At 50.3% G+C, this 18,958-nt stretch overlaps 1 protein-coding gene across 19 annotated transcripts in view; it reads right to left on the bottom strand.

The window, feature by feature from the left end:
• Positions 1-18,958, bottom strand: part of SHANK2 (SH3 and multiple ankyrin repeat domains 2) — a 785,381-nt gene that overhangs the window by 610,667 nt on the left and 155,756 nt on the right. For all 19 annotated transcript variants that reach the window (NM_001441030.1, NM_001441032.1, NM_001441037.1 and 16 more), the window contains 2 exons: positions 16,017-16,168; positions 13,902-14,069 (listed from right to left, as the gene is read on the bottom strand). In NM_001441030.1, coding sequence (NP_001427959.1) covers positions 13,902-14,069; positions 16,017-16,168 — 320 coding nt within the window. The remainder of the gene's footprint in view (positions 1-13,901; positions 14,070-16,016; positions 16,169-18,958) is intronic.

Raw genomic sequence — 18,958 nt, forward strand, 5'->3', positions numbered from 1 at the left:
ACCAAACAAGATCTATTAATTACAAAGGAGCAAAGTAAGGCAGGAGGTGGGACTCAGGAAGCGGGACTCAGACACCGGACCAAACTGAGGACTAGCTAAAACAGGGCGGGGCAGAAGCAGCTTTCCATAAGACACGCCCATCAGTGTGCCACATCAGTTTACTGTTGCCATGGCAACACCCAGAAGTTACCACCCCTTTCCCTGGCAATGGCCTGACGACTCAGAAGTTACCACCCTTTTCCTAGCAATTCCTGCAGAACCTGCCCCATAATTTGCATGTAATTAAAAGTGGGTATAAATGTGAGTGCAGCCCGGCCTCTGAGCTGCTGCTTTGGGTACACTGCCTCTGGGGCAGCCCTGCTCTGCAAGGAGCAGTCTCTGCTGCTGTTCACAGCTGCTTCAATAAAGGTTTTGCCAACATCACCATCCTGCCCTTGAATTCTTTCCTGGGTGGAGCCAAGAGCCCTCCTGGGCTAAGCCCCCATTTTTGGGCTCACCTGCCCTGCATCAAAAGAGGAGAAACCCAACAGACCCCACCTGACTAGGTGGTCGGTGTGACCTCCACAATGAGTACCAGGCGAATGGTCCCCATGTATCCCCGTGAAGGTGTGATGCTGACAGCACAGCATCCTTTCTAAGGCATTCCTGCCAAATGCATATGCTGGATCCCATCACGAGCAAACACTGAGCAAACCCAACAAAATGACCGCCCCAAAATCTTCAAAACAGTCACAGCCATAGGAATTAAGGGAAGCCCGAGGGAGTCTCCCAGATGGAAAGGCTCCAGGCAGGTCCCAGGCTGGATCCTCTTCTATCAGGGATGTTACTGGGACACCGTCACCACTCAAATGTGCTCTCCGCGTGGAGGGCATATGGGAGTTCCTTGTACTATTCTTGCAACTATTCTATAAGCTGGAAATGGAAACAGTAATTTACAATTTTAAAAAGAAAGTTAATAGGCCAGGTGTGGTGGCTCATGCCTGTAATCCCAGCACTTTGGGAGGCCGAGGCGGGCGGATCACGAGGTCAGGAGATCGAGACCATCCTGGCTAACACAGTGAAACCCCGTCTCTACTAAAAATACAAAAAATTAGCCGGGTGTGGTGGCGGGTGCCTGTAGTCCCAGCTACTTGGGAGGCTGAGGCGGGAGAATGGCGTGAACCCGGGAGGCGGAGCTTGCAGTGAGCCAAGATCACGCCACTGCACTCCAGCCTGGGAGACAGAGTGAGACTCCGAGAAAAGAGAGAAAGAAAGAGAGAGTAAGAAAGAGAGAGAAGAGAGAGAGAGAAAGAAAAAGAGAAAGGGAAAGGGAAAGGGAGGGGAAGGAAGGGGAGGGGAAGGGAGGGGAGGGGAAGGGAGGGGAGGGGAGGGGAAGGAAGGGGAGGGGAGGGGAAGGAAGGGGAGGGAAGGAGAGGAGAGGGAAGTGGGGAAGGAGGGAAAGAAGGAAAGAAAGAACGAACTCGCTTGACACAAAGATACTGAAAGCTACCAAAGTGTTAAAAGAAGGAATTCATCCTCCCACAAGAGAAGCAACACTAACCTCCTTTTCTTATTTTGAAAAGGGTGTCTGGTCTCTGGCTGTTGAGACAGCTGAGAGGGTGATAGGAGGGTGGAGAGTAATGGGATGAAAGGCAAAACACTGCCCTTGACACCTGCACCCCGTACCCACTCTCCTGAGGTGCTTTTTGGAAAATGCATGTGTGGGAGGCTCCACCCATGTCTGCTGCCTCTGAATCTCCTGCTGAGGCCTGGGCAGGGGCACCTGGAGATGGCTCCCCTCGAGACTGTTTGCCCCAGCGATGCCTAGCGTCCCACCCGCCCTGTGCAACCACAAGACTTGGTGTGAATTAGAAAAAAGGGTGCTCCTTCCTTCAAGCCATTTAACGCCACCTGCTGGACACTGGTGATACATCTACAGGACCTAAAACTATGGCAAGAGGAACGGCGCCACCTGGGGTTGTGCAATGCCCAGCACAGCAACCAGAGCAGCGGGGAGGTCACTGCACTGCAGGGGAGCAGCACAGGTCGGCTGAGACGAACCCCCTATCACTTCTGCTTGGCTCTGTGCCCCAAACAAAATTGTTCCCAACCACACTTAGGCATTTCTCCCAAAACATATGCCTTGTGACATGAGGTAGAGACACCACAGCCCACACAACAAAGAGTCACATCATTTCGGCTCTCACTGGGTCAGGAAGTGGGCTGCCCGTCAGTAGAGAAACAACGTCTCGTCCAAACACAAGCAAATCCCCCTCGCATGGCCTGAGCCACCAGCTGCTCCGTGGCCCCGCATACCACGGTTTTCAAAGGCTGGCTGTGGTCTTCCTGCTGGCCCAGTAGTCAAGGAGGCCAATGCACCTGAATGAATGCAGGAACACGGGCAGCGGACGGGCTGTGATGCAAACCAGAAAGTGGCTAGTTCAGTTTTGTTGGTGTTGCGGGCTGAATTGCATCCCTGCAGCATTCATGCGTTGGAGTCCCCACCCCCAGTACCTCCGCATGGGGCTGTATGTGAAGAGGGTCTTTCGAGAGGTGATTAAGTTAAAATGAGGCCATTAGGGGGCCCCTAATCCCATCTGGCCTGGCTGGTATCCTTATAAGAAGAGGAGCTGGGGACACAGACACACAGAGGGACGACCCTGTGAAGATGCAGAGAAAAGGCGGTGTCTGCAAGCCAAGGAGAGAGGACTCAGGAGGAACCAGCCCTGCGACGCCTTCGTTTGGGACTCCAGCCTCCAGAACTGTGAGATAATGAATGTCTATTGTTTGAGGAACTTTGCAGTGGCAGCCCTATGCAGCAAACACAATCACTTTGGGTCTACTAATGTGTGCTGTTCAGCCTGAAATGATCACAGACAAAAGACATCATGCTATAATTCCAAAAGGAGAGATGACTGGCATTCCCACATAAAGCTGCGGCCCTTGCCCACCTTCCCCATGGAGCCCATCACTCTCATAACATGATTTTTGGAAAGATGAGGTCTCTTAAAGATGTCACCTATGTCAGGAGGGCAGGATAGAGGACCTGCCAAAGTGCAGAGGGTGGGGTGCTGGTCTCGGGGTCTTCACCCATCCCCTCTCCTGTTCCCCGCATGTCCCTGAAGAGTCAGGGCTGACTGGGAAGGCAGGTACTCAAGGGTCCTCATTCCCTCTGGAGGCTCAGAGAGAGAGGATGCCTCTCTTCCTTCTCCAAACAGAACCTTGCCAGGCCAGAGGGGCTCAGAATATGGAACTGACCTCCCAGGTCAATTCAGAGCTGATCCCCTGAAAGCACAGCTCACTGTTGCGGCTCCAGACACGGGGGCCACAGAGGCTCGGCCGCTCGTGCCCAGGGGCAGACCCTGAGCCCCAGGTCCAGAGTGACACGGGGAAGGGCTCCCGTGCTCTGGTCCTGCCACCTGGCAGGGACCCCACACTCTCACACCCTGGAGGTGCTCATCTGGAAAGGTGCAGTACCTGCCAGCACCCACGTCCCACAGTGAGGCTCGGTCCCAGTTCCAAGGCTGCCAAGCACATGCCAGCACAAAGGGCCAGAACCCTGTTCACAATGTCCCCCCGGAGCCAATGCATGCCAGCTGCCCAGATCTGAGGGTCACCTGCCAGCACCACAGCCTGGTTCCAACACTGCTCCCACGTCCCCTGGCCAGAATGAGCCACTCCTGGCTGGCACTGTGGAGCTCCTGGGCTCTCCACCTGGCTGCTGTTCACGCTGGCCCTTCCTGTGCTACCTGGCATTGTGCTTACCGTGACCAAGCCCAGGCTTGGACACCGCGGTCACTGCGGTGCCTGAACAGTGGTCATCTCAGTGCCTAGGCAATGGTCATCTTGGGGCCTGGACACAGCAATCACCTCGATACCTAGATGGACAGTGATCGCCTCAGCACCTGGACACGGTGGGTACCACAGTACACTAGAAAAACCTCAATCTGAAGGAAGACCACAACCCATGTGGCTCCATCCCATTCTAAATGCTAACTTTCCAGTCAAGCATTGACTCCCATCTCTACCAGGCAGCTCACGCTGGGCTGTACACAGTCCCACCCTGGCAGGAAGGTAACCAGAAAGCTTGGACCCAGAACGACATAACGTGGGGCTCCAGCAAAGAACCTCCCACAGGCCTGGGAGGATCAGGGGCCTGTCCCCTCGCCGTGGGGCCCAGAGAGGCTCAAGAGCTGAGGGCATCCGGCCAGGGATGGGCAGGGGGCAGCCTGGAGCAGGAGGAGAGGAGAAGTCACTGTGGCCCGAAACTATTTCTTTAAGGCGGACACTCTTCATTTAAATGCGATAAATAACAAATAGCAGCCAGTAACAACATTCAGACTGATGTCACACCCATTGCACAATGGGAGCAAAATCAAACGAGGGGCTGGGAGCAGGTGTGGTAGGCACTCTCTGAATACAACGGATTGTTTCTTAACGCCCGCCCCCCCCCCAACCCTTCTGAAACAGGTTCTCACTCTGGTTGCCCAGGCTGGAGTACAGTGGCATAATCTTGGCTCACTGCAGCCTCCACCTCCAGGCTCAGGGGGTCCTCCCACCTCAGCCTCCAAAGTAGCTGGGATTACAGGAATGTGCCACCATGCCCTAATTTTTGTATTTTTGGTAGAGACAAGTTTTGCCATGTTGGCTGGGCTGGTTTTGAACTTCTAGGCTCAAGTGATCTGCCTGCCTCAGCCTCCCAAACTGCTGGGACTATAGTGTGAGCCCCTGTGCCCAGCCTAATGTATTATTTACTTCTAATGATGACGTCAGACGTGGCCACATGATGATGACAATGATGACAATGAGGATGATGATGGGGGGACAGATGATGACAATAATGATAGGGACATTTATTAAGCACCTGGTCTATGCCGGGCACTGCAGAAAATGCCTCACGTAAATTCTGTCATAGCTGTCTCCAGAGCTCTACAAACTGTTACTCAGCCAACCTGAGAGATTAGCACACAAGCTCAGAGAGGGTGGGGCACTTGCTCAGGTGAGCCAGCGAGCGATGAGGTGGGTTTGCAACCCCAGGCTGCATAACACCCAGGCCAGAATATGGCCAACAGACAGCATGAGGAGAGTCCCTCATCCCGAAGATACTGAGTCAAACTCAGAGAGGGAGGGAGAGAGCCAGGCTTTGCCCCAAGGAAGGTACCGGGGTTCAGCACATGGAAACGCAGGGTCTGGATCCCTCACCAAGCGGCATCCTCTCCAGGACCACACCCCCTGTGGCCAGGGCCAGCGTGCTGTGAAGTTGCACGGTGGATGTAAAAGTCTTTAGCAATTAAAAATACAGAATGAATACCCCCAAATCTGACCCCTGATGTCCTTGGGTTGTGGGAATGCATTGGGGTGTTTCTTAACTTGCTTCTTTATACTTCTTTGTATTTTCCAAGATTTCCATGATGCATGGGTAATTTTTTGGTAATCAAAAACAAAACAAAACAGGGTAATTTGAATAACAACTTTTTTTTGGGGGGGGGAGACAGAGTCTTGCTCTGTCTCCCAGGCTGGAGTGCAGTGGCGCAGTCTCAGCTCGCTGCAAGCTCTGCCTCCTGGGTTCATGCCATTCTCCTGCCTCAGCCTCCCGAGTAGCTGGGTCTACAGGCACCAGCCATCACTTGCTGCTAATTTTTTTTGTATTTTTAGTAGAGATGGGGTTTCACCGTGTTAGCCAGGATGGTCTCGATCTCCTGACCTCGTGATCTGCCCGCCTTGGTCTCCCAAAGTGCTGCGATTACAGGCATAAGCCACCGCACCCGGCCCGAATAACAACTTTTAAGATAATTTGCAGACAGCCTGAGCTCAAATGGGGCTCTTCTAACATCAGCCTGTGGGGATGGGGCATATCCCCACTGTGTGAAGTGGAGGGTGGATCTGAAATGTGTCCTTAGGCCATGTGCACCTGGCCTGAGACAATGATGGGAAAGCAGCGGCCTGGGGAACCCTGGAGTACACCTGCAGCATCTGTGAGCAGGCCTGGCTGTGGCCGCGCAGGCTCTCCCACACGATGAACGCCCAGAACCCTGGGACAGGGCTGTCCATTCTCCAGGTGCTAGAACAGAGACACAGACTTTAAATGCAAAGCCCATCAGCCTGAGAGCTCGGAGGTGCTTCTCCCGAGAGGGCAGAGCCAGGCACAGCCCAGTGAGGTCCAGGAAAACCCACCTGCCCCTGTAATTTCTTCTGCCACAAATGTGCTGTGAGTGGTTTGGATGTGAGAACCCTACAGGCAGCATAGAGAACCAGGCTTCTGGTAAGAGACAGGCCAGGAGTGAATCCAGCTCAGCCAACTGCTTGCTCCGTGGCCTTGGGCAAGTTACCTGCCCTCTCTGGGCCTGTGAACTCATATGGGAAACAGCAATGAGAAGTAACCAGCTCTGAGGATATAGAATCATAGTGCAATTAAAGCAGCTCAGGACAATGAATGCCCCCAAATTGCTACGGGTCCTATACACATTTGACCATTTTTACAAAGACAAGCCTCTGTCATGTGCCTGGGTTTGCTACGGGTCCTATACACATTTGACCATTTTTACAAAGACAAGCCTCTGTCATGTGCCTGGAAGGGTTTGTTCATTAAAGGAAATCTGAAATTAAATGTTCCTCTTCCAGGAGCACTCCTGTTTTAATGATATCAGTGACAGCTCTCAAAATCAGTAGACTTTAGGCTAGGCATGGTGGCTCACTCCTGTAATCCCAGCACTTTGGGAGGTTGAGGAGGGCAGATCACTTGAGGTCAGGAGTTCGAGACAAGCCTAGCCAACATGTTGAAACCCTGTCTCTACTAAAAATACAAAATTAGCTGGGCGTGGTGGCACACGCCTCTAATCCCAGGTACTTGGGAGGCTGAGGCAAGAGAATTGCTTGAACTCAGGAGGCGGAGGTTGCAATCAGCCAAGATTGCCCCACTTCACCCCAGCCTGGGCAACAGAGCAAGACTCCATCTTAAATATATATATATATATAATATATATGTTATATAATATATAATATATATGTTATATTATATATGCTATATATTATATTATATAAAATATATAACATATTATATTATATAAAATATATATTATATAATATATTATATAATATATATATTAAATATATATTATATTATATATTATAATATATATAATATATTATGTTATATATTATATTATATATGTTATATATATAATATAATATATAACATATTATATGTTATATATATTATATTATATAAAATATAATATATTATATAATATATTATGTTATATAATATATATTATATTTATATTATATAATATATGATACAACATAATATATTATGTTATATTATATAATAATATTATACAACAATAATATATATTGTTATTTTAATATATTATATATTTATATAACCTTAATATATATATTAATTATATATTAATATAACATAATAAATTGTTATATATTAATATGTTATATATATTATGTTATATATTATATATATTATGTTATATATTATATTATGTTATATATTATTATATATAACATATTATATGTTATATATATTATATAATATGTTATATAATATATTATATAATATATTATGTTATATAATATATTAAATTATATAATATATTATGTTATATAATATATTAAATTATATAATATATTATGTTATATAATATATTAAATTATATAATATATTATGTTATATAATATATTAAATTATATAATATATTATGTTATATAATATATTAAATTATATAATATATTATGTTATATATGTTATATATTATATATGTTATATTATATATGTTATATAAGATGTTATATAAGATATAGTATATGTTATATTATATATGTTATATAAGATATAGTATATGTTATATTATATATGATATACATTTATAATATATGATATATGATATATTATTTATAATATATAATACATATTATATATTTATAATTTATATATTATATTATATATAATTATGTAATATATAATTTGTTATATAATTATGTAATACATAATTTATTATATATAATATATAATATAAATATATATAAATATATTATATATAATAATATATATATCATTAGACTTGGAGTTAAGCAGATGATTCTCCATAATATTGAGTGGGCCCCATCCAATCAGTTGAAGGCCTTAAGACTGAGGTCCCCTGAGAAGGATGAGATCCTGCTAGAGATGGACTTGAGACCCGCACTGTGGCATTTACCGGGCCACTTGGCAGGGTAAATGTGAGCACTTATGAGGATGATCTGGGAGGCAGGCGGCACTGTCCGCTGCTCCTGCAGGCCCGTGCAGGGCACCCGCACCCATCCCTTATCTGCTCCGTCCCTTATCATCTGATAGGCACAAGGGCCCTGCAGATGAATGAGAGGAGGCTCGCGAAGGCAAAGTTGCTTCACATTATCACTGAGAATCTTTAGCAGGGGAGAAAATGGCTTTCCGGGCCTTTCATGAACAGGCAGCAGACCACCAGAGGGCAGTGAACGCACCTGGCTGGCTTTCCAAACCCTGCTCCACATTTTCTAAGCTGAGGTGGGAGCAGGTGCACTGCCCCAGAGCTCAAGCCTCCAAGGTACCAGTGCAGCTGCACAGGCTCAGGCCCCGGGACCAAGGTGGCCGGGTGGCTCTGGGACAGCCAGGCTCTGAATGCAAAGCGCAGGGCCTCAGGGACAGAACCTGGCCCTTTGCAGGCCAGGAGTCACAGCTGAGAGCTGCAGTGAGTGACTGATGGTCAGGGCTCCTGCCAGCCTCCACCGTTACCTCCATCCCAGGGCCAGCTGGAGAGATGGGCCCGGAGACATTTGCCTGGTTGGGAGAGAGGGCAGGAAAAAGGAAAAAGGAGGGGTGTGGGAGGGGAAAGGACGGAGCTCCAGGAATCCCCAAAGTTGAGACACAGGGGCTATTCTGGCAAAAGGGCTGGCGGCTGGATTCAGGACTCTGTGAACTACTCCACGTTTAAGGAGGTTTTAGCCTGCATCACACCTTCAGAGCTCAACAGGAAAACAGCAATGCAACCAGAGCACTGTGATGTCTAAAGGGAAGACATGTCTGGAAAACACAAATTCAAGCAGGCATTCTCACAGAGAACAAGCGAGCTTCGGGTCCCATACGCATTTAGCTGGTTTTGTTGTTGTTGTTGTTGTTGTTGTAGTTTTGCTCTTATTGTCCAGGCTGAAGTGCAGTGGCGCAATATCGGCTCACTATAACCTCTGCCTGCTGGGTTCAAGCGATTTGCACGCCTCAGCCGCTCAAGTAGCTGGAATTACAGGCGTGGTACCTCCACACTTGGCTAATTTTTGTATTTTTAGTAAGACAGGGTTTCACCATGTTGGCCAGGCTGGTCTCGAACTGCTGGCCTCAGGTGATCCACCTGCCTCAGCCTCCCAAAGTGCTGGGATTACAGGCGTGAGCCACCGCACCTGGCTGCATTTGACTATTTTTACAAAGAGACGCCTCTGTCCTGTGCCTGGAGGACTCATTCACTAAAGGAAACCTGAATTTAAACCTTCCTCTTCCTTGGGCGCTCCTGTCTTCATGAAGTCAGTGACTGCTCTCAAAACCAGTAGACTAAATTGATGATTCTCCATAATGTGGGTGGGCCCCATCCAATCAGTTGGAGGCCTCAAGAGAAAAAAGACTGAGGTCCCCTGAGGAGGAAGAGATTCTGCCAGAGACAAACAGGATCCCCGCAGCGGCATCAACTCTTCCTGGGTCTCCAGCCTGCCCTGCAGATTTTGGACTTGCAGCTCCACCACTGCATGAGCCAATTCTTCAAAATACTATTTTAAAAAATTCTGTATCTGTACACACACACACATGCATGCATGTGCACACCCTATTGGTTCTGTTTTTCTGGAGAACTCATCACACCTGAACACACAAACAACATTGAGTGGTTTCTATGGTGTCATCCAGCGACATCAAATGACAGTTCTGTTCACGTGAATCACCGACTTTGAGTTGACTGAGAACAAGACTCATTATCCATTTGGCCAGGCGGGAGGGACGTCCCCAACGTCCATGTCTCTTAGAGACTCACAACTCAGCCTTGTCCCCTGGGGGCCGGCAGCTGTTCGGTGGAGACCCTGTGAGACTCGAGAAAGATGTGGGTGTTCAGGGTTCCATGACTCCCGCCCCTCGCCCAGCCATGTTTGCTGGTAGAAATGTCTCGTGGGTGACTGCACCACCCCACCAGGGGCCTCCCCTCATCCTGAACTTGACCTTGTGGGTGACTGCACCACCCCACCAGGGGCCGCCCCTCATCCTGAACTTGACCTTGTGGGTGACTGCACCACCCCACCAGGGGCTGCCCCTCGTCCTGAACTTGACCTTGTGGGTGACTGCACCACCCCACCAGAGGCCTCCCCTCGTCCTGAACTTGACCTTGTGGGTGACTGCACCACCCCACCAGAGGCCTCCCCTCGTCCTGAACTTGACCTTGTGGGTGACTGCACCACCCCACCAGGGGCCTCCCCTCATCCTGAACTTGACCTTGTGGGTGACTGCACCACCCCACCAGGGGCCGCCCCTCGTCCTGAACTTGACCTTGACCTCAAATCAGCCTAGTGAGTTTTAAAAACCAAGCTCATTAGCGCTTTGGCAGTCCCAAGAACTGCCCTTTTCCAAGCAGGTCACCTTGGAAGCTTGGGACAGCTCCCAACACAGCTGAGATTCTCCTTCGGGAGCTGCCTCTTCCACATCCTCAACAGGAGCCGAAGCTCACGCCATGCAGACGGGCTTGGCCTCAAAAACACCAGCACAGAGCTGACAGCCAAGCGCAGCAAGGAGAGGAGACGGGCAGAGGAACGGGGCCATGTCTCAGGGCGTGAGCGTCTGCATGGCCACTGCATGAGCACCAGTGCCCAGAAATACAGAACACTGTCAGGCCTGCTCAGAAGCATGTCCACGCACATGTGGACCTGTATGTACATGCGTGCGTGCGAGTGTGTGTGTGTGTGTAATTTATGTTCGTCTTTCTATCTCATGTCTGGTTTCCCCCCACGGGAACACCAGGGGCTTGCATCAGGCATTTCTGTTCACTGCTGCAGGCTGTGTATTCAGGACACCGAGACACATGGCTGGGGCTCACACCCAGTAGACGACGTTTGTGGCTGATGAGCACCCATTAGCAGTGGGTAGGGTCTGTGGTGCACCCGGAATGGCTGGAAGTGGGTCAGGCGTGAAGAGGCGAGCGTGGTCAGGCCAGGAGACCTCTTGGGGACCCCCTGAAACAGCTCAGACACAAATGAGGAGGGGGCCAGGGAATGAGCGTGGCCAGGGCCAGATGCTGTGGAGAGGCTCAGAAGGGCCAGGCCTGACACTGACACACAGCCGAGGGATGGCAGGGCCATCTGGGGCTGGAACCGTTGGTTGACAAAGGGGGAAGAGGTCAAGGGGAGGAAGGAGGAGGGAACAAGGACAGAAACACTGGCGAGTTTCCACCAGGGACAAAGCGAGGGCAGGGCAGGAGACTGAGGAGGGGAAGCAGCTCCCCCAACCCAAAAACCTCCGAGTGCTGTGCAAGAATTCACCTGCTGCTTCCACATTCAGGATATATCAGTCAGGGTTCTACAGAGACACAGAACGTGTGTGTGTGTGTGTGTGTGTGTGTATCCTGCTGCTTCTACATTCAGGGTGTATCAGCCAGGGTTCTCCAGAGAAACACAACCTGTGTGTGTGTGTGTGTGTGTGTGTGTATGTGTCCTGCTGCTTCTACATTCAGGGTGTATCAGCCAGGGTTCTCCAGAGAAACACAACCTCTGTGTGTGTGTGTGTGTGTGTGTGTGTGTCCTGCTGCTTCTACATTCAGGGTGTATCAGCCAGGGCTCTCCAGAGAAACACAACCTCTGTGTGTGTGTGTGTGTGTGTGTGTGTGTGTGTGTCCCCTGCTGCTTCTACATTCAGGGTGTATCAGCCAGGGTTCTCCAGAGAAACACTACGTGTGTGTGTGTGTGTGTGTGTGTGTGTGTGTGTGTGTGTCCTGCTGCTTCTACATTCAGGGTGTATCAGCCAGGGCTCTCCAGAGAAACACAACCTCTGTGTGTGTGTGTGTGTGTGTGTGTGTCCTGCTGCTTCTACATTCAGGGTGTATCAGCCAGGGTTCTCCAGAGAAACACAACCTCTGTGTGTGTGTGTGTGTGTGTGTGTGTGTGTGTGTCTGTGTACATAGATACATTTATATGTTATATATGTATATGCACGCAGAGAATTTTTAAAAGTTTAGAGCTTAGACACATAAAATTAAAGATAGAAATATTTTAAAGAGTTGGCTCATGCAATCACGGAGGCTGTAAGTCTGAAATCTGCAGGGCAGGCTGGAGACCCAGGGCAGTGTTCAGCGGGAATCTGGAGTCTTTTTCTGGCAGAATTCCTTCTTTCTTGGGATCTCAGTCTTTTTCCTCTTAAGGCCTTCAACTCATTGGATGGGGCCCACCCACATCATGGAGGGTCATCGGCTTAACTCAAAGTCCACTGATTTAAATGTTAATCCCATCTTAAAAAACACCTTCTCAGCAACAACTAGAATATTGTTTGATCAAATATCTAGGAGCTAGAGCCTAGCCAAGTTGACACATAAAATTAATGATCACAGGGGAAAATTATTTTCCTTTTTCATAAAGAAAAGCACAATAATGACAAGAAATCTCATGGCGGGTGCATGGAAGAGGACTTCCAAAGACCAGTCATTACTGCTTCCCTGCCTGCGGGCTCCAGCTTGGGTGTGGGCCGGGGGCTGCCATGAACAGCCCCACAGACCCCTACTCATCCCTCGGGAGGAACAGGGGCTTCTCCAGGCTGCAGGGCCGACGATGAACCAGAACTGACCTAGCACAAGAAAGCCCAGGGAGGGCGGGGCCTGCTGGCACCCCCACTGCCCAGTCTGACCACAGTGGGCAGAGTGCATAACCTCCCTTACAGGTGTGTAAGGTGGTAATGGCAGAGGAGAACACAAGGTAGCCAGAGAAACCATGGCAGTCACTGTGTAGAGAACCAAGCAAGAAACCAGTCAGGGCCCTCTGTCCTTGACCTCCCCTTGCTGTTCCAGAGCCTCCTCTTGACCTCCTAGGTAGACAGGTGCTATCAGCTCTCCCAGACCCACCTCACCCCTCTGCCTGGAGACCCTGGCCTGCAGCCTGCACCACAGCACTCCCTCACTGTCCTCCAACTCTGGCAGGGCTCAGCCAAGAGAAGAGAGGCAGATATTCCTTCCCTGAGTCCTCCCTGACATGGGCCTGCGGGCCCCCTCCTCAGCCCTGGCTCTCCTGCTCCCGGGAGCATCATCTCCTCTCCCTGCCCATCAGCTCACAGGTGCTGATGGCTCCCCAAGACTGCTCTTCTATGGGGTCCTCAGCCTTTAACCCCGTCCACACCTCTACCTGATCAGGTAAAGACTTTTCACTGGAGACAGCCGGTGAAATCTGTTTCTTGCCAAGACCAGGCTGACCTACCTCCTAACCCAACTGTTGCAAGGTTGGGCCTGAAAAACACGCCCCTCGTGCGTGCAAATCAGGACTTCCTGGGGCTCACCTGTGCTCAGAAAACACCGGTGCTTTCTGGTATCCTGCCCTGTCAGGACGGTGGGAACTTGGAGAGGGCAGGGCTCCTGGGAAGGGGGCGTCCACCCCATAACTGCAGGGCACTCCTGCTGTGCAGAAACTCAGCAGCCTTGCCTCATCTTCCAGTTTCTCCAGAGAAGTCAGAAATGTCTATTTCTATGCAAATGTGTCTGTTTTCAAATACTGACGTTCACATTTTAAAATCATTTTTAATTCACATATTTTCAGGAACTCTGGGCAGGCCAAACAAAATACCTGAAGGCAGGATCTAACCTTTGGGCCACCCTGCTTATCTGCGGGATCGGAGGAGAAGGGGAAGTCAGTTCGTGGGTACAACAGAGTGGAGAAGCGGGCCCACGTACCTGGTGGATCTCGTGCCAGCCGTTCTCATCTTTGCAGCACACAGTGGCGTGTTCGTGCAGGAGAAGCTCGCAGCAGTAGGGATCACCTCCGACGATGGCTGTGTGATACAGCGGGGTGAGGCCGTAACTGTCTTTATAATCTGGGGATGCACCAAGCTCTAAAAGGGTCTAGGAAAAAAAAATTGAAAGCCGTCGTTATTGGTCTCATGACCCCTTTTGCAGAGTGAGGTGATCCAGAAAGCAGCACCAGGACCACCCTCCCCCAGGTCAAGGCAACCCACACCCTGAGTACCCAGTGCTTCTCCTGGGCTCCCCAGAATTAAGAAGGGTATAACCTGGCCGGGTGTGGTGGCTGACGCCTATGATCCCAGCATTTTGGGAGGCTGAGGCAGGTGGATCACCCGGGGTCAGGAGTTCAAGACCAGCCTGGCCAACATGGCAAAACCCTGTCTCTATGAAAAATACAAAAAAAATAGCCAGCGTGGTGGCAGGTGTCTGTAATCCCAGCTACTTGGGAGGCTGAGACAGGAGAATTGCTTGAACCTGGGAGGTGGAGGTTGCAGTGATCCAAGATTGCACCATTGCACTCCAGCCTGGGCAACAAGAGCAAAGCTCAGTCTCAAAAATAAAGGGGGGGGGGGGCAGGTATAACTTTAGACAACTACATTTCTAGTTCTGAAATAGCAAACAGTGCCCAGAAATGCAGGGCAGGCTGACATTTGGGAGACGAGGAGACCTGCAGCACTCAGACCCTTCCTCGGCCTGGTCAACATTTTGTGCCAGTGGTGTGGCATGGGCAGCAATACAGTGACTGCAACATTTGCGGAAGAGAGAAAAGGTGCATGGTTTAACCTACATGCCCAGTGGAAAACCACCTCATTCCGCACGCTGAGGGTGGCGAACCTAGCAAGCATCGCGTCTTCAAGAATGCTCCTGATTTCCGAGGAAGCCAACGGGTACGGTGTGGCTCTGCGTCCCCACTCAAATCTCAATTCAAATTGTAACCCCCAGTGCTGGAGGTGGGGCCTGATGGGAGGTGATGGGTCATGGGGGCGGATTCTCAGGAATGGCTTAACACCACCCACTCAGTGCTGCTTTCGTGATAGTGAGTGAGTGCTCATGAGATCTACTGTTTAAAAGTGTGGCATCTCCTCCCTCTCTGTCTTCCTCCCACTCCGGTCACAGGAACTGCCTGCTCCCGCTTCACCTTCCACCATGATTGGAAACTTCCTGAGGCCTCCCTGGAAGCAGAAACTGCTCTGCTTCCTGTACAGCCTGCAGAATCATGAGCCAATGAAACCTCTTCTTATAAATTACTCCGATCTCACATTTCTTTATTGCAACGCAGGAACAGACTCACACACCAACAGAAGGGGTGCAGCTGAAATGAAGTGAAAGTCCTGAGACTTTAGGGACAGCGAGGCCCCCGTCTTGGGGGTCAACCTGCAGCGGCACGTCCCATCCCTGCTGGTGTGGGCTCTGGTGGAGGATGCCTGGGCGTGCACCACCCTGTCCAGAGGCGCCGTGGCTGCAGTGTGAGGCAGGGGCACGGAGCAGTAAGACAGCAGCAGGGGAAGGTGAGGCGCGGAACCCACAACAGGGCAGGCTCCCACGGACCCGCCACAGGGTGCTGGGGGGATCTACCATGTGGCTCTGTGTCCCCTCCCAAATCTCAATTCGAATTGTAACCCCCAGTGCTGGGGGTGGGGCCTGGAGGGAGGTGATGGGTCATGGGGGCGGATTCTCAGGAATGGCTTAACACCACCCACTCAGCGCTGCTCTCATGATCATGAGTGAGTCTTCCTGTGGATGGGGTTGGGGTTCACCACTGGCCTTACGGGTTGAAAAGACAAGTCCCTTGACTGAATAGAAGGTGAAAGATGACTTCTTGGGAACCATTAATTCTGAAAGCATCGACAACCAGGAGAGAGAACAGGAAAATCTGAAACCTGGCTTCACTTCCAAGCTCCAGCCGGAACACTGTGCACGGACTCCTAGGGTGGGCCGGAACACTGTGCACGGACCCCCTAGGATGGGCACTGCGGGGATGGGATGGGGCAGCCGCACGGAATCAGAGCACGGGGTGGCACCCAAGTAAGATGGGCCCGAGTTTACCTTCAGGGCAACTTGGTTCCTCGCTCGGGCAGCTTTGTGTAGGGCGGTCATCCCATCTTTGGCACGGAAGTCCAGGTGAGCTCCACCATTTTTGAGAGCTTTGATGACCTCCACAGAGTCGTCCAGCTGAGCGGCTAAGGTCAGGGGGGTCTCTGAGGAACCCAAACACACACACTTTAGAACCAACATTTGTCACACTGCTCACAAAGCCATATTCAGATGCCCAAAACTAAGCTGAAAGAACTGACTCCCCTCCTCCACCTCCAGGGTGTTTACAGCTCCCACCACCTGGGAACCCCAAGAGTCCAGGCGGGCAGCGTGGCTCAGGCACCCCCGTGCGATGCAGTGACACGCAGGGCCACGCGTACAACACAGCGGTGGCAGAGGCAGGGATTCAACAGGACTGCTGTGTGGGCCACAGTCCAAGAGGCTCCCTTGCTGCCCTTCCCTCTGAGTACACAGAATCCTGTGGTACCATCTGGGTGCTTCCCGTACAGAAGGAGTGACGGACTAAAGCCCTCATTAGAGATGGGAAAGGCAGACACCCACCTTTCCTCATTCAATGTCACATTTATGGGCATCTTGGGAGATGCCAGCCATGGGCTGCAGGGACACAAACACAAATGAGACATGAAGTCCGTGCCCCCTGGAGCTCCCAATCTGGGTAAGTGGAAACCTTCCTTCATTAACGCGGCGCAGGATGACCCAGGAGGCAGGGCAGAGGCCCAGCAGACAGAAGGATGCCGTCTGCCTTTGTAGGGACAAGGGTCCCGTGCAGATGACCCTGGACCAGTCTGCAGATGAGCGTGGCTAAGGACGTCAGTGTCTATTACAACAAATCTTTCCGTCCACTCTTCATCTTTCTAATATGCCCACCATGGCCACTGCTAAACAAGAGGAACTACTTTGAGGTCCTCTTTTGAGAGTTCCTCATTTGAGAGGCTCTTAACGTTCCAGAAAAGTGCACAGAGTACCAGGACAACACACAAGTTCCCATGACCCAGAAACACCAACAATGAATATTCACTCGGTCTCGAAGCACATTCCAGTGAAAGAAAACTCGGATGCCTTTCACAAGGCGTGTGTCTTGCTGACCCCTCACCCCATCCCATCCCCCTCCATCCCAGAAAGGGCACCTGCCTTGTGAGTGTGCACTGACTATTCCCATCTATTTTTAATTGTGATGTTTACTTATCCATACATGGGTACCCTCCTGAGGACTTTTAACATTCACCCTAGGAACCACTCTGCAGCTTGGCACTTCATGGTGATATGCACATGCTTAACCCCTCCATGTCAGGAGTGTGCTGTGTGTAGACATGCCAGCATCTTCATTCATCCTGTCTCCATGTGAAAAGCAGGCTTCCTGTCTTCCCCAACTAGGATGCTGTGTGTAGACATGCCAACATCTTCATTCATCCTGTCTCCATGTGAAAAGCATGCTTCCTGTCTTCCCCAACTAGAATGCCGTGTGTAGACATGCCAGCATCTTCATTCATCCTGTCTCCATGTGAAAAGCAGGCTTCCTGTCTTCCCCAACTAGGATGCCGTGCGTAGACATGCCAGCATCTTCATTCATCCTGTCTCCATGTGAAAAGCAGGCTTCCTGTCTTCCCCAACTAGGAACGATGTTCTCATGAATGAATGCCATTGCACATGACTCTGTTGCATACCCTCCTGATGCAGAAGTTTTAAAGAAAAATAGAAATTTTCTGGGACTAAGGGACTTCAGTGGCAGTGGGGGATGTTTCTTGCATAGAAAACAGCTACAAGGCAAGGAAGGCTCAGCAAGGGGTGTGGGGATTGAGACCAGTTGGAACATGGCCAGAGTTCCACATGTGCACAGAGAGGTGGAAATGGGGCAGACGCCAGAGAAAAACAAACTCAAGGGGTGACCCCTGCCTGCTAGAGAGAGGAACAGTCAGCCCCTCATTCTCTGTCTCTTCCCTGGTGGCATCCAGGCTGAAGCACGAGTGTCCGAGGGCATCTGGGGAGTTTATTCCTTGGAGCATAAAGGCCACCATGGGAGAGTGGACAGTCAGGGAAGTGACTGATCCTCGAAGGGCACGAAAAGACTGGGGCTGTCGGGAGCCACCAATATCGACGCTGAACATTCAAATCTTACAGCGACTTAATGAGCGTGTGACACTCGTTCGGGGCAAGGTTAGCCTTCAAAACAGTTAGGATTTTCTTTCCCATTTGACTGTTCCCTTTTGCCCAATGCAAAAAGGCAGTCCAAAGCAGATTTTTTAAAAGATATTTTAAATTAACATATAATTTTCATAGCTGACAACCTCAGCTGTTCCATTTTATAAATGAGAATGCTGTCTCAGAGAGAGCTGGTGGCAAGTGGTAAAATCAGATCAGAGGCTTGAATCCTGACTTTTGACTCAGAATTACAGATGCCTGCAGCCAAACCACATCCTGTTGGTCAGTGCCAGGCAGTTAAAGGTGGCTGCATAAACGCACCGGTGGAGAAAATGATCCCACTCTGTTCATGGCTGTGTCTCACGTGCAGGATGGGGAGCTATGTGTGGTCCTTGGGTGGCTTCCAGGGCCATCCAATGACAAGTGGCAGCCTTCTCAAGGGTTCCGGAATCCCTCCTCAAGTGATGTTCCAGACTTGCATGTTCACCTCTGGCCAGGACCCACCCTGGGGAGGTCAGGAGACCCCCTCTTCCCGCCCTGGCTTAGCCACCACATTTGCAAAGAGCACGTCCGCTGAGGTTCCACATTTGGGGCTGATGGAATCACCCCCGAGAAGATGCTGGTTGATGAGCTATAAACCGGTGACAGATATAACAGCACTGCCCGGGATGCACACCCAGTGACTGCACTATCACTCCCCTGATGAGCATGGGAACCACACAGTTATCTGGCACCATGATTCTTAAGACTATTCCTCAGGTTTTGCATTTTGAAATTTCTTTAGTTTTAAAAAT

This window comes from Homo sapiens, chromosome 11 (assembly GCF_000001405.40).
Source record: "Homo sapiens chromosome 11, GRCh38.p14 Primary Assembly".
NCBI lineage: Eukaryota > Metazoa > Chordata > Mammalia > Primates > Hominidae > Homo > Homo sapiens.